The sequence below is a fragment of the Homo sapiens genome, chromosome 8, assembly GCF_000001405.40.
Source record: "Homo sapiens chromosome 8, GRCh38.p14 Primary Assembly".
NCBI classification, from domain to species: domain Eukaryota; kingdom Metazoa; phylum Chordata; class Mammalia; order Primates; family Hominidae; genus Homo; species Homo sapiens.
Window position 1 is genome coordinate 52,524,672 of NC_000008.11, and position 16,210 is coordinate 52,540,881.

At 37.5% G+C, this 16,210-nt stretch overlaps 1 protein-coding gene across 1 annotated transcript in view; it reads right to left on the reverse strand.

Moving 5' to 3' along the window:
* Positions 1-9,365: 9,365 nt before the first annotated feature.
* ALKAL1 (ALK and LTK ligand 1) overlaps positions 9,366-16,210 on the reverse strand; it is a 31,394-nt gene continuing 24,549 nt past the window's right edge. Inside the window, exons 3-5 of the mRNA NM_207413.4 lie at positions 15,160-15,240; positions 13,760-13,836; positions 9,366-9,929 (exon numbers count right to left, since the gene is read on the reverse strand). Of these exons, the coding sequence (NP_997296.1) occupies positions 13,772-13,836; positions 15,160-15,240 (146 nt within the window). The 3' untranslated portion in view covers positions 9,366-9,929; positions 13,760-13,771. The remainder of the gene's footprint in view (positions 9,930-13,759; positions 13,837-15,159; positions 15,241-16,210) is intronic.

Below are 16,210 nucleotides of genomic sequence, written 5' to 3' on the forward strand. Positions count from 1 at the left end.
TATAAGCAAGAACATGCGGTATTTGGTTTTCTGTTCCTGTATTAGTTTGCTTAAGATAATGGTCTCCGGCTCCATCCATGTTGCTGAAACTAACATGATCTCATTCTTTTTATGACTGCATAGTATTCCATGGTGTTTATGTATCACATTTTTTTTATCCAGTCTACCATTGATAGGCATTTAGATTGATTCCATGTCTTTGCTATTGTGAATAGTGCTGCAAAGAACATATGCGTGCATGTGTCTTTATGGTAGAATGATTTATATTCCTTTGCTTATATACCCAAAAATGGCATTGCTGGGTCAAATGGTAATTCTGTTTTAACTTCTTTGAGAAATTGCCACACTGCTTTCCACAATGACTGAGCTAGTTTACATTCCCACCCTCAAGGTGTAAATGTTCCCTTTTCTCTGCAACCTCACCAGCATCTGTTATTTTTTAACTTTTTAATAGTAGCCATTCTGACTGGTGGAGATGATACCTCATTGTGGTTTTGATTTGCATTTCCCTGATGATTAGTGATGTTTAGCATTTTTTCATATACTTGTTATCCATATTTGTATGTCTCCTTTTGAGGAATTTCTATTCAGAAACTTTGCCCGTCTCTTAATCAAATTGGTTTTTTTTTTCTGTTGACATGTTTGGAGACCTTGTATATCCTGAATATTAATCTGCTGTCAAATGAATAGCAAATATTTTCTCCCATTCTATAGGTTGTCTTTTCACTTTTCACAAATGCTTTTTAGTTTGATGTAATCCCTTTTGTTGGATACTAAAAAAGTCTGCTAAAAAAAAAAGGAAAAAAATGAAAGATATGATCCCATTTGGGTTTGTTTTTTTTTTTTTTGCTATGTGATGTGCTTTTGAGATATTATTCATAAAATCTTTACCCAGACCAATGTCCTGAAGCATTTTTCCTATGTTTTCATCTAGTAGTTTTATAGCTTTAGGACTTGCACTTAGTTCTTTAATCCATTTTGAATTGATTCTGGTATAAGATGAGAGGCGGGGTCATTTCATTCTTCTGGGTGTGGAGTTTCAGTTTTCCCAGAACTGTCCTTTCCCCAGTGAGTGTTCTTGGCACCTTTGTCACAAATCAGTTGATTATAGATATGTGGATTAATTTCTGGGTTCTCTATTCGATTACATTGGTCTATTTGTCTGTTTTTATGCCAGTACTATGATGCCGATACCATGACATTTTGGTTACTATAGTTTTGTAGTATATTTTGAAGTCCTTTTTGCTCAGGATCCTTTTTGCTCAGGATTGTTTTGACTATTCAGGGTCATTTGTGGTTTCATACAAACGTTAAGATTTTTTCTTGCTTCTGTGGAGAATGCCATTGGTATTTTAATAGGGATTGCATTGAATTTGTAAGTTGCTTTGGGTAGTTGCTCATTTTAACAACATCAATTCTCTTTTATTTTTTATTTTATTTTATTTTAGATCCAAGGGGTACATGTGCTTGTTTCTTACATGGGTAAGTTGCATACTGATGGAGATTAGGATTCTAGTGTACCCACTACCTAAATAGTGAACATTGTACCCGACTGGTAATTTTTTTAACCCTTTCACAATCCTCCTTTTTTTTGGAGTCCCTAGTGTCTACTCTTTCCATCTTTATGACCATTTGTGCCCATTGCTTAGCTCTCACTTACAAGTGAGAATGTGTGGTATTTGGTTTTTATGTTTCTGAGTTAGTTGACTTAGGATAATGGCCTCTAGCTCCATCCATGTTGCTGCAACAGACATGATTTCATTCTTTTTTGGGGGTGCATAGTATTTCATTTTATATATACATATATTAACATATATTATTATATAACATATATTATACATATATTAAATAATATATTACATATATTATACAATCTATAATATATGTATAATATATAATATGTATATAATATAATATATACATATAATATGTATATAATATAATATATACATATAATATGTATAATATAACATAATATATATAATATATAATATATGTTTAATATATATATATATCTTTTATCCAACCATTGATAAATACATAGGTTGGTTCTATGACTTTGCTATGGTAAATAGTGCTGTGATACAGATACTGTATGGGCATATTTTTAATATAATGATTTCTTTTCCTTTGGGTAGATACCCAGTAGTGGGATTGCTGGGTCAAGTTGTAGTTCTATTTTTAGTTATTTGAGAAATCTCCATACTACTGTCCATAGAGGTTGAACTAATTTATGTTCCTACCAGCAATGTATAGAATTTTATTTTCTCCACACCCATGCCAACATGTGTTCTTTTTTGACTTTTTAATAATATCCATTCTGTATTAGGCCATTCTTGCATCGCTATAAAGAAATACCAGAGATTGGGTAATTTATAAAGAAAAGAGGTTTAATTGGATCCCAGTTCTGCAGGCTTTAGAGGAAGCATGGTGTTGACATCTGTTCAGCTACTGAGGAAGCCTCAGGAACCTTATAATTATAGCAGAAGGCAAAAGGGAAGCAGACGTATCATATGGCCAGAGCAGGAGCAAGAGAGAGGGACAGAGGTGCCACACATTTTTAAACAACCAGGTCCCACGAGAACTCACTCACTATTACAAGGGCAGCACCAAGACTATCATGCTAAACCATCCATGAGAAATCCACCCCTGTGATCCCGTCATTTCCCACCAGGCCCCATCTCCAATTCTGGGGATTACAATTCAACATGAGATTTGGGCAGGAACAAATATACAAACTATGTAACATTCTGACATATGACAATATCCCTTTGTGGTATTAATTTGCATTTCCTTTTTTAAATTTCATCTTTTATTTTAGATCTAGCGGGTAAATATGCAGGTTTGTTACATGCATATATTGTACCCAGGTAGTTGGTCTAGTACCCAATGGGTGTTTTTTTAGCCCACACCCACTTTTTTCTTCCCCCATCTAATAATCTTCAGTGTCTATTGTTCCCATGTTTGTCCATGTGTGTCCAGTGTTTAGCTCCTGCCTACACATGAGAACATGTGGCATTTGGTTTTCTCTTCTTGTGTTAGCTTGCTTAGGATTATGGCCTCCAGCTTCATCCATGGTGCTGCAAAGGACATTATTTCATTCTTTTATATGGCTGCATAGTATTTCATGGTTGTGTATGTACCACATTTTCTTTATCCAACCTACCATTGATAGGTACCCAGATTGATTCCATGTCTTTGCTATTGTAAATAGCATGGCAATATATCAACTCTCTGGCTTTGTGTCATAATCTTATTTGGAGAGACCTTGACCATTTTTTGCTTCCACAAGATATCACACTGGTCCATCCATTGCATTGATGACACTATGCTGATTGGATCCAATGAGCAAGAAGTATCAAATGCACTGGACTTATTGGTGAGATATTTGGGTGCCAGAGGATAGGAAATAAATCCAACTAAAATTCAGGGAACTTCTACCTCAGTAAAATGTTTAGGGGTCCAGTGGTGTGGGGCCTGTCAAGATATTCCTTCTAAAGTGAGGATAAGTTGTTGCATTTGGCCCCTTCTGCAACCGAGAAAGAGGCACAACACCTAGTGGGCCTATTTGGATTTTGGGGACAACACATTCATCATTTCAGTGTGTTACTCCAGCCCATTAATCAAGTGACCCGAAAGGCTGCCAGTTTTGAGTGGGGTCCAGAACAGGAGAAGGCTCTGCAACAGGTCCAGGCTGTTGAATTTTGGAGCAATGCCCTGCCATCTTCTGCAGATAACATCTCTGCTTTTGAGAGACAGCTCTTGGCGAGTTACTGGACCTTGGTGGAAACTGCATGTTTGGCTCTGGGTCATCAAGTCACCATGCGACCTGAACTGCCTATAATGAACTGGGTGCTTTCTGACCCATCTAGCCATAAAGTGGTTCAGGCACAGCAGCATTCCATCATCAAATGTAAGTGGAATACATGTGATCAGGCTCAAGCATGTCCTGAAGGCACAAATAAGTTACATGAGGAAGTGGCTCAAATGCGCATGGTCTCCACTCCTGCCACCCTGCCTTCTCTCCCTTAGCCTGCACCGATGGCCTCATGGGAAGTTCCCTATGATCAGTTGACAGAGGAAGAGAAGACTAGGGCCTGGTTCACAGATGATTCTGCACAATATGCAGGCACCACTCAAAAGTAAACAGCTGCAGCACTACAGCCCCTTTCTAGGACATCCCTGAAGGACAGCAGTGAAGGCAAATCTTCCCACTGGGCAGAACTTCCAGCAGTGCACCTGGTTGTGCACTTTACATGGAAGAAATAACCGGATGTGTGATTATATACTGATTCATGCGCTGTAGTCAATGGTTTGGCTGGATGGTCAGGGACTTGGAAGAAGCATGATTGGAAAATTGGTGACAAACAAATTTAGGGAAGAGGTATGTGGATGAACCTCTCTGAGTGGTCAAAACTGTGAAGATATTTGTATCCCATGTGAGTGCTCACCAACAGGTGACCATAGTGGAGGAGGAGTTTAATAATCAAGTGGATAGGATGACCCGTTTTGTAGACACCACTCAGCCTCTTTCCCCAGCCACCCCTGTCATCGCCCAATGGGCCCATGAACAAAGTGGCCATGGTGGCAGGGATGGAGGTTACACATGGGCTCAGCAACATGGACTTCCGCTCACCAAGCCAACCTGGCTACAGCCACTGTTGACTGCCTAATTTGCCAACAGCAGAGACCAACACCGAGCCCTTGATATGGCACCATTTCTTGGTGTGATCAGCCAGCTACCTAGTGGCAGGTTGATTATACTGGACCTCTTCCATCATGGAAAGGGCAGAGGTTTGTCCTCACTGTAATAGACACTTACTTTGGATATGGGTTTTCCTATCCTGCAAGCAATGCTTCTGCCAAGACTACCATCCATGGACTCACAGCATGCCTTATCCACCATCATGGTATTCCACACAGAATTTCTTCTGACCGAGGCACTCACTTTCTGCTAAAGAAGTGTGGCAGTGTGCTCATGCTCATGGAATTCACTGGTCTTACCATGTTCCCCATCATCCTAACGCAGCTGGATTGATAGAACGGTGGAATGGCCTTTTGAAGTCACAATTACAATGCCAACTAAGCAACAATACTTTGCAGGGCTGGGGCAAAGTTCTCCAGAAAGCTGTGCATGCTCTAAATCAATGTCCAATATACGGTACCGTTTCTCCCATAGCCAAGATGCACAGGTTCAGGAATCAAGGGGCGGAAGTGGAAGTGGCGCCACTCACCATCACCCCTAGTGATCCACTAGCAAAAATTTGCTTCCTGTTCCCACAACATTATGTTCTGCTGGCCTAGAGGTCTTAGCTCCAGAGGGAGGAATGCTGCCACCAGGAGACACAACAATTCCATTAAACTGGAAGTTAAGATTGCCACCTGCACACTTTGACTCCTCCTACCTTTAAGTCAACAGGCTGAGAAGGGAGTTACAGTGTTGCATGAGGTGATTGATCCGGACTATCAAGATGAAAACTGTCTACTACTCTGTAATGGAGGTAAGGAAGAGTATGCATAGAACACAGGAGATTCACTAGGGCATCTCTCAGTATTAACATGCCCTGTGATTAAGGTCAATGGGAAACTGCAACAGCTCAGTCCAGGCAGGAGTACAAATGGTCAAGACACTTCAGGAATGAAGGTTTGGGTCACTCCACCAGGAAAAAAACCATGACCTGCTGAGGTGCTTGCTGAAGGCAAAGGGAATACAGAATGGGTAGTAGAAGAAGATAGTCATCAATACCAGCTACAACCATGTGACCAGCTCCAGAAATGAGGACTATAATGGTCATGAGTATTTCCTCCTTCTTTTGTTAAAAACTTGTTTGTTCATGTATACACTTGTACTAAGAAAATATCCTCATTTTATTTCCTTTTCCTTTATCATGTGACATAAGATTTACTGACTTCATATCAGCATTTAAGTATTGTTAACTTTATGTAATAGTATTTGGGTTGGGGATTGGTGAGTTTCCTGTTGTATGAAGGATAGTTGTGTTATGTTAGGCATAATTATGACCTCATTATTTTCTTAATTTGAAGATTATGTATGATCTCAGGAGATATGTATGGGTTTGAGTTGACAAGAGGTGGATTTGTGATGATTAATACTGAGTGTCAACTTGATTGGATTGAGGGATACCAAGTATTAATCCTGGGTGTGTCTGTGTGAGTGTTGCCAAAAGAGATTAACATTTGAGTCAGTGGGCTGGGGAAGGCAAATCCACTTTTAATCTGGTGGGCACAATCTAATCAGCTTCCAGCAAATATAAAGCAGGCGGAAAAATGTGAAAAAGAGAGAGATGGGCCTAGCCTCTCAGCCTACATCTTTCTTCCATGCTGGATGCTTCCTGCCCTCGAACATCAGACTCCAAGTTTTTCAGTTCTGGGACTTGGACTGGCTTTCCTTGCTCCTCAGCTCACAGACAGCCTATTGTGAGACCTTGTGATCATGTAAGTTAATACTTAATAAATTCATATATATATATATATATATATATGGAATAGGATGTGTATATATATATAGGGAATAGGATATACACACACACACACACACACACACACACACACACACACACACACACATCCTATTAGTTCTGTCCCTCTAAGAGAACACTAATACATCTGGCTTGATGCAGATAGGTAAATAGAGCAGTGTATTTATCTCAAACCATCTCTTCTCTTCTCTCTCTCTCTCTCTCTCTCCCCCTCTATCTCACTCACTCCCTCTCTATACTTCTCTCCCTTCATCAACCTCCCCACCTATGATTGGCACACACTGAAGAGGCAAAGACTCACCTTTGTCAAGGATCAAGAAGTAGCTCAGCGTTCTGTGAAACACATGGAGATGTGGTTTACCTTGCTGGGGGCTACACAACAGGAGCTCGGGAGAAAGTTCCCCAGGAGCAGGGTGTTAGGGAGCTGCCAGGCCAAAGCCAAGGCACAAATATAAAACTCACCACTATATCTCCATAGGGACCAGACAGAAGAGGGATCCCAGTTCTTCAAAGGGGATGAAAGGAAGTCAAACTGAAAAAAATCCCAAGTTAAAAATGTCCATCAGATGTCAAATAATAGCAGCTTCTGAGCCAAATAGGCTCAAATAGGGCTCCAAATTTTTTATTTGGCTGGCATATACATTGGAATTTTTCTAGTAAATGCCAACATTTAGAAACTGAGATGTTTCACATGAAAATCCAGATTGCAGTTTTCCTAGAAAAATCAGAAGGAAGCTTGCATTCCCACTTAGCAGCATGGCCAGTGAGATGCAGTGGGGCTGCAAACCTGCCCTACCCCAGACTGCATTGGGTCTCTGTGGTACAATCAAATCACTTGTGTTAATCACCTGGCCCACAGGCATTGAGTTTCAATGCCAGTGTAAGGTTCTTTGAATCCATGAGTTGGACAAATTGAAGCAGTTACAGGAGTAGAAATGAAGTGGGTAAACACAATGTTTTCATAGAAAACCTAAAAGTTTTGATGAGTCACTAGACAACTGCTCAATAGTGTTTTCATAAGTCATTGTCTGCTTTTTATTACCAGTTACAGTGTGTTCATTAATCTCATTCATTGGAGTACGAGATGTTTGTTTATTCTTTCACTACACAAAGTACCTACTAGGAACCAGGCATTGTTGTAGGCTCTAGAAATACTTCAGAAGACAGTCTCTTCTCTTGTAGAGAGAATTCATCACCATTTATTGTGGTGAGGTAGATAAGAAACCATCAAGTGTGATTGCATAGACTGATATATGATTTTTAAGCAAATTAAGCCAGAAAATGTGGGGAAAGGCTACTTTAGATAGGGTTAGTTTTTCCAGTCAACCATTTTTTACCATGTAGAAAATGATAAGACACATACACCTCCCCTCCCCACCCCAAGGTTAAAACCCACTTCCTCTCTTCTAGAATGTGTCAAGGGCTAGCTTTACTAACTGCATTTTGCCTTTCAAACCAAAAGATCTATGGTAAGAAGTCAAGTGGAAGGTTAGGTAATTATACAGACAGCTCCAAGCTTAACTGGGTTGTTTGCCTAAATCCCTTAAGTACCTAGTTAAGAACAGCCCACTTAGTTGATGCAGCTCTAAATATTCCGAAAACATTGTTAACCTCCTGGCTTGCTGCTTAGACAATGAGATCATTTCTCTGATGTGTGGATATTACTTTACCAAGTAACCATGAATGTTTTACCCTACTCTCATTTAAATCACTCATTTGCCCATGTGAGAAAATTTTCTCATTAATACAATGAGAAAATGAGGATCATGTAGTAAAATAAACATGATTTTAACTGGAGTAATATTTAATATATCTTTGTGGGTTTTTGAGAAATATATAGCATGCAATACATTTCTGAGGCATACTACTTATCTATGGGAATGTTTAAAATCTAATTTCATAGAATTGCATCTGAAATCATTTATCTTATTAAAACCATACTAATCACGAAGCCCCTTTAGGCTATTTTTTGTATTTCAGCCAAATATGTCTCACCAGTAAGTTCTTTTATATCATCATTCAACAGCCTCTTCACTTTATAAAAATAGCCCTCAGCTCCCCAGATACTTATAATCAAAAACTACTTCATTTTCCCAGATATAGAATTACAATTATTATGATAAGTACAATTAACTAAAAAGTAGTCTTTTTTCATTATTACATAGCATTACTGCAGAATTTTCTCCTCCACCTCAGATTTTTTAAACATAATTATTTGTAAATCTTTGCTCATAGACCAAAATAAGTGAAACCAAAAATTGAGAATGGAGCTTCATAATATTCCTGAAGCCAAGGGGCATTTTTTTCGCTTGGTTTTCTGAGGAACAAAGGACAATGTATGCATACATACACAAAGAGACACGAAACAGTGTCTGGAAGTTATGCAAGAGACCAAAAGCACTGCATAATTGAAGTGATGGCTTCCATATGGCACAGAGATACATATGTCTTCATGACACCAACACAAGCAGTTGGCAAGTGATACAAAGTCAATGACTGCACTGTTTAGGTATTGTTAAGCAACTCATGATTTGTCTACTAATTAAAGGGATGGAGGTTCTCCATTGTTTTGTTGTAGGGTCACGATTTTTTTTCACTGTTGTTTTTAAATGAAACTTCCTGGATGCATCAGAGTATTCTGCTACATTCTAAACAGAGCATTCAGGCCACCCATACATTCCTCTCACTCCTTGATGTACAGCTCGCCAGTCCAAGAACAACTGGACTTCTTTGTATTTAAGAGAGCAATACCAGATGTTCTAACTTTAAAAGGCAGAAATTGTCTCAGGATTCTAATTATCAATTCAAACAATACATATTTATACACATATACTTATATAGTAATCACACTTCAAAAGCATAACCTCTATTACAAACATCTTTAATTCAAAGGAAACAACACATTTTTTCATATTTCAACTTTAATAAAATTCACAGTTCAAATTAATGCAAGTGAAGACAACAAGTTCTAAATAAATGTATTTAAATATTAAATAAGAATTATAAAATTTAACTTGGTACACGATGATTTGACAAATATATACTAACAGTCATATACAAAAAAATCATTATTTCTCACTGGCACTCACAGATATAATTTACACAATTAAATGTTTAATTAGAATGTTAACCATATAAAGAAAATAATATATCTAGTAAAAATAAAATACAATCACACAATTTTTAATATCTAATTTTCAATATGCGATTCAAACTCTGTTTTACAAAATTATAAATTACTGTATACACAAAAAGATAAAGCAAGAAAGACTCCATTCTATGACAGGAAACAGCTAACCAGTTATTTCTGGGAAGTCTCTTATTTTACTCATCTTAATATCCATAAAAATATAAATTTCATCTTTTTTTACATTTTGCATGATTTGAGGCACTTTTTCTTCAAATTAGATGTACATTCTTAGGAAATGTCTGTGGGGGTAAAAGAAGAGCCATATCATTTATGACCTGGTTTTTAGAATACTTATAAATATGTACAGTTTCAACAGTTTTATTTTGCTTAAAGACTCTGTGGACTCCTAATTTACAGTCTAATCCTGAGAATGCAGACTAATGTGTGTGCAGAGGGGCAGGAAGGTTGATCAGCACTTTTAGAGACTTTAATTATTGATTTTTCCCTTAAAGATTTATGATATCTAGACATACCAAAACAGAAAAGAACTTGACATCTTGTAAACAACTCATTAAATATCCCTAACATTTATTAATCTGTAGTATTGATTGTAAACCTTATTAAATAAATAATTCAAAACAGATACTATCACAGATAACTCCTATAGAGAGAAATCACTAAGTCTCTAAAATCTATAATTTTTAAAAGTCATGTTTATCAGCTCTGTCTTCTATGATCTAGCCCAGGAGAATGTAAATTTGTGTACATTATCTTAAATTATAACACAGTACTTGTTTGGGAAAACTTTTCCAGTATTGTGTTGTTTGAGGACTTTAGGTAAATTTACTCATTTACATGGAATATATTAAAAACAAAGAAAGAGATAAACATAACTTGGTTTAGGTCATTTCAATAACCAAGTGAATTATCTTGATTCATGTTTTGCATTGTTCAAAAGAGTTGAGGCCAGGCACAATGGCTCATGTGTATAATTCCAACACTTTGTGCAGCCAAGATGGGAGGATCACTTGAGCCCAAGAGCTCAAGACCAGCCTGGGCAGCACAGTGGGACTCTGTTGCCACCAAAAAAAAAAAAAAAATTAGATGAGCATGGCAGCATGAGCCCATAGTCTCAGCTACTTGAGAGGCTGAGGTGGGAGGATCACTGGACCCTGGGAGGTTGAGGCTACACCGAGCTATGATCAAGCCACTGCACTCCAGCCTGGGCAACAGAGTAAGACCCTGTCTCAAAAAAAAAAAAAAAAAAAAAAAGGAAAGAAAAGAAAGAAAGAAAAAAAAGCTTTGAGACAGGTAGATTGAGAGTAATTGAATTAAGTATCTTGCCACTAAAATAATCTAGTTTATTTTCTTAATCTAAAAAAAATTGTTTTCAATTTAGCAACTGTAGATATGCAGAACTAACAGTTCTAATTATTATCATTAATGTGTAATAATCACTTTTAAAATAAGACTAAGTATAGCAACAGTGATAGGTCAAGATTGTCTCAGTAATTGTCACAACAAAACTGTGAGATAGTTTAAGTAAATCTCCATGCAGTTATGTGGGATATATTGATATTGAGTTACACTGGCCAGTTCAAGATATTCATGAGTAATCTTAGACTACAAGTCCTCTATGACCATTTTTTTTTTTTGAGACGGAGTCTCGCTCTGTTGCCAAGCCTGGAGTGCAGTGCTGCAATCTCAGCTCACCGTAATCTCCACCTCTTGGGTTCAAGCGATTCTCCTGCCTCAGCCTCCCAAGTAGCTGGGACTACAGGCACGCACCACCACACCCAGCTAATTTTTGCATTTTTAGTAGAGACAGGGTTTCACCATGTTGGCCAAGCTGGTCTCGAACTCCTGACTTCAAGTGATCCACCCGCCTCGGCGTCCCAAAGTGCTGGGATTACAGGCGTGAGCCACCATGCCCAGCCATCCTCTATGATTTTCATTCCCACCTTCACAACCTGAGGAACCCGTTTCCTTAAAAGGACTTGTCCATGGTACTGAAATGCTGACCCAAAAAAAGTTGACTTGGTACTACACTGCAAAAGAACTACTGATTAAAGAAATATTTGAAAAGAAATAAGTACCTTTCAGTATTTTGTATAGATTCTACTTTTTTAAATAAATGTTACAATTTACATTCAATTTATTTAGGATCGTACAAATACTCTATTGCCCAAGGGCTCCTACGATAAATTAGCCAGAATGAAAATTCTGACTTACCATTTCACTCTTGTAAAGTAATAGGCTAGAGCAAGAAATAACTACATGTTCATTATCTTTTTTATTCTTTGCTTTTTCTCTTATTATTACAATATCTTCTCTCTGTTTCCTACCTACAGTACCAAAACTGTACCGAAGTTTTAAGACCTGGTTTCTTTTTTATTATCTATTTTGGACAGTTAAAAAATAGAACATCTAAGTACTTTTGTTAATCTAATGCCTATCTGCGTAATGTTTCTGCATAATCATAAAATAACACTAAATGCTGAAAGATTTTTGGAAATCACTCAGGGCTGGTAAGGTTGTCAAAAAACTATTTTAATTCAATCACTGTTGAGGATATTTTAAACTAATTCATTAAAACGGTCTTTTCATTTGGACCGAGTTTTAACATTTAGTGAAAAATCCATAGATTAAGTTCATGGGTATTGCTAAAATAGGCTTCCTGGCTTCTGACATTATTCAAACATTTTCTTAAGAAAATTAGGCTATTAACAGAGTGAAGAGACAACATGTAGAATGAGAGAAAAGATTTGCAAACCATTCACCTGACAAGGGACTAATATCCAGAGTATACAAACAATTAAACAGCAAAAAACAGATAATCTGATTTAAAAGAGGGCAAGGTATCTGAATAAACATTTCTCAAAAGAAGACATACAAAAGTCTAACAAATATATGAAAAAAATGCTAAACATCACTAATCATCAGGAAAATGCAAATCATAACCATGATGAGATATCATCTCACTTCAGTTAGAATGGCTATTGTCAAAAAGACAAAAAAATAAATGCTAGTGAGGAGCAGAGAAAAAGGAACCTTTATATACTGTTGGTGGGAATGTAAATTAGTACAGCCATTATGAACAACAGTATGGAAGTTTCTCAAGAACAAAACTAAAAATGGAACTACCATATGACCCCAAAATCCCACTACTGGGTATTTATCCAAAGGAAAGGAAATCAGTATATCAAAGGGATACCTGCACCCCCATGTTTACTGCAGTACTATCCACAATAGCCAAGATAGGCAATCAAACTAAATGTCCATCAATGGATGAATGGATAAAGAAAATGTGTATATACACAACGGAATACTATTCAGCCATAAAAAGAATGAAATGCTATCATTCTAGGCAGCATGGATGAAGCTGGAGGACATCATGTTAAGTGAAGTAAGTCAGGCACAGAAAGATAAATATTCTCACTCATATGAGGGAGCTAAAAAAAAAAAAGCTCATAGAAGTAGAGAGTAGAATGTTGGGTATTAGAAACTAAAGAGGGCCAGGCACGGTGGCTCACGCTTGTAATCCCAGCAGTTTGGGAGGCTGAGGTGGGCGGATCACTTGAGGTCAGGAGTTTGAGACCAGCTTGGCCAACATGGTAAACCCTGTCTCTACTAAAAATACAAAAATTAGCCGGGCATGGTGGCACGTGCCTGTAGTCCCAGCTACTTGAGAGGCTGAGGCAGGAGAATCGCTTGAACCTGGAAGGCGGAGATTGCAGAGATCGCGCCACTGCACTCCAGCCTGGCGACAGAGCGAGACTCTGCCTCCGAAAAAAAAAAAAAAGGCTAAAGAGGAGTGGGGAGGCGCAGCTTGGTTAGTGAATATGAACTACAGCGAGACATGAGGAACGGGTTCTGGGGCTCTGCAGCACTGTAGGGTGAATCTGGTTAACCATAATTCATTGTATATTTTTTTAAAGCTGCAAAAGAAGGTTTTGAATGCTCACAATATAAAAAAGAATAAATGTTTGAGGCATACAAGTATCAAAATGTAACACTGTACCCCATAAATATGTACAATCATTATGTGTCAACTAAAAAGAAAAGGAAAAAATGTTTAAAAATAAAGTTAGACTATTAAACAGGATAAGAAAAATAAATATATACTCACAGGGTAGTTTTGCTAGGTCTGGGAGCACAGTGGACTCACTGCTAATCTTGTTAACAATCTAGCACATCTTTTGTAATCTAGGAAAAACATTTAAAGGTAAATTATATATAGAGTTACTAGAAATGTTGGGGAAATCCTGTTATTATTGTCACTAATTCATATAACAATAACTACAGTTTAATAAATACCTACTATGTTAAGTGCTGAAAATGGATTTTCTCATCAATTCTTTCAATAACACAATCGGGAAGGTGCTATTCCTATCTTCACTTTAGAGATGAGACAAGAGCCTCAAAATGTTAATTAATTACCCCATAACTAGTCAAAAGCTTTATCCCAAAGCACGTGCTTTCTCCACCATGCTTGGCTACCATTAGTCATTCTGCCTGTAATCCAATGTGATTAAATTTCTCTAGCCATTTAATACAAGTTGTTTTGTTTTATTTTATTTTATTTTGGAATTTTAATTTATTTATTTACTTATTTATTTATTTATTTATTTAGAAGCCGGGTTGTAAGACTGGCTAATTTTTGTATTTTTGGTAGAGACAGGGTTTCACCATGTTGCCAAGGCTGGTCTCAAACGCCTGAGCTCAAGCGATCCGCTTGCCTCGGCCTCCCAAAGTGCTGGGATTACAGTCGTGAGCCAACACTCCTGGCCTTTTGTTTAAAAGTTGTTTTTGAAAAAAATTATAACAAATACAACTTAACATGCTGAGTAAAAGTCAATATTCCTCAAGATGAGCAATCTAGTTAAAAAGAAACAAAATGCTTAGAATTCATGTTCTTTAAAAGGAAAGTTGAGGCTTAGAAAGGAATTTAAAAACAGCGAACTGAGTTACCACACATAGTCATAATTTCGGCACTTCAAATGAGAGCACTTAAATATTATGTTTAGAATTATTATTAACTTCAGTAACTTAAGTATCCAAAAGAATTCATTATAGCAACCTTTACATGCTATCATTACTCAGAAAAATCCAGCACCATTATATAAATGATGTGCTATAAAAAATATTTACTTTAAAATAACTTATGAAAAAATTTTTACTTAGAGTTCACAGTCATCTCATTTTTTTCATTTATTTGAGACAGCACCCTATTTATGCCAAGGAATTCGAATCATGATAAAATGTTTAAATCCTAACAAACACTTTAGTCTTTAAGGAAATCTGGCTATTATCAGATTTGAGTAGATTCCCAATTAGAATGTGGTTTCATTCCTTACAGTGGCAACAGTACACACAAACCTTAGGTTCTGTCAGTGTTCTAAATCAGTGTTATAAATAGAATCTCAATGTTTAGTCTACTACTTCCCACCCACAGACATTTGAAGTTTAAAATTAAACGCATTTATTGTTGGATAATTAAAAAAAAAAAAACCCACCCAAGTTACTTACAAGCTGGCGTTGAGCACTCCCTGGTATTGTAATAGAGTCGGTGGAAATGTTTGCTGCATTCTGGTGAAAATGTGACCGGCCCTAGAGCACAGGAAAAGAATGCTTATTATAAACATAGGCATGTTTTCCAAACAAATTTCCTAGCACTTTATGGGTGGATATAATACAACAGCACTTTACATCCTTCCATACCCTTAAAAGAACGTGCCTGAGAGCTCTTCCCCCTACCCAGGCTCTGTGGGAGGTAGAGTTGTGGTCTATGAAAAATAATCTAAATTCATTCCATGTTCTCGATATCTCAAATAATGGAATCTTCACATTTAGGAGAACTGTCTAGAAAAATTAGAAGGAAAAAGCTCTGGACAGAAAATAAAAAGTCTGTAGTGAGCAAATTGAGTGGACAAGAAGTACAAACAATAAGTATCTTTGGTTTCTACTTTCTGTTTTTATTTAATAGCAATTAATGTTTACATGCCAAGACATTTATTCCATTTTCTAATTATAATAATTTGTGTCTTATTACTGTCTAGGATAATTGTAAAATGAGCAGGGCCTTGAGAAGTCCCTTGTCTCTCCCTTTTAAATCCAAGGTGGGCCCCTTGGATTTAAAAACTTTCATCCCGGATGGCTCGTGTCTGTAATCCCAGCACTTTGGGAGGCCAAGGCAGGAGGATCACTTGAGCCCAGGAGTTCAAGAACAGCCTAAGCACCATAGCAAGACCCTGTTTCTACAAAAAATAAAAATGAAAAATGAGCCAGGCATGGCGGCACACGCCTGTAGTCCCACCTCAGTTACTCTAGAGCCTGAGGCAGGAGGATCCTTGAGCCCAGGAGATGGAGGCTGCAGTGAGCTATGACTGCACCATTGCACTCCAGCCTGAGCAACAGAGTGAGACCCCATCTCTTAAAAAAAATACACATACAACAACAACAACAAAATGTTCATCCCTCCCTCCCTCTGGAGTCTGCTTCTCGTGGGGTCTACGGTCATGTCGCTCACAACTGCCTCGAAAGGCTCAACATCCTCACACATCCCTGTGCCCTGCAGGTG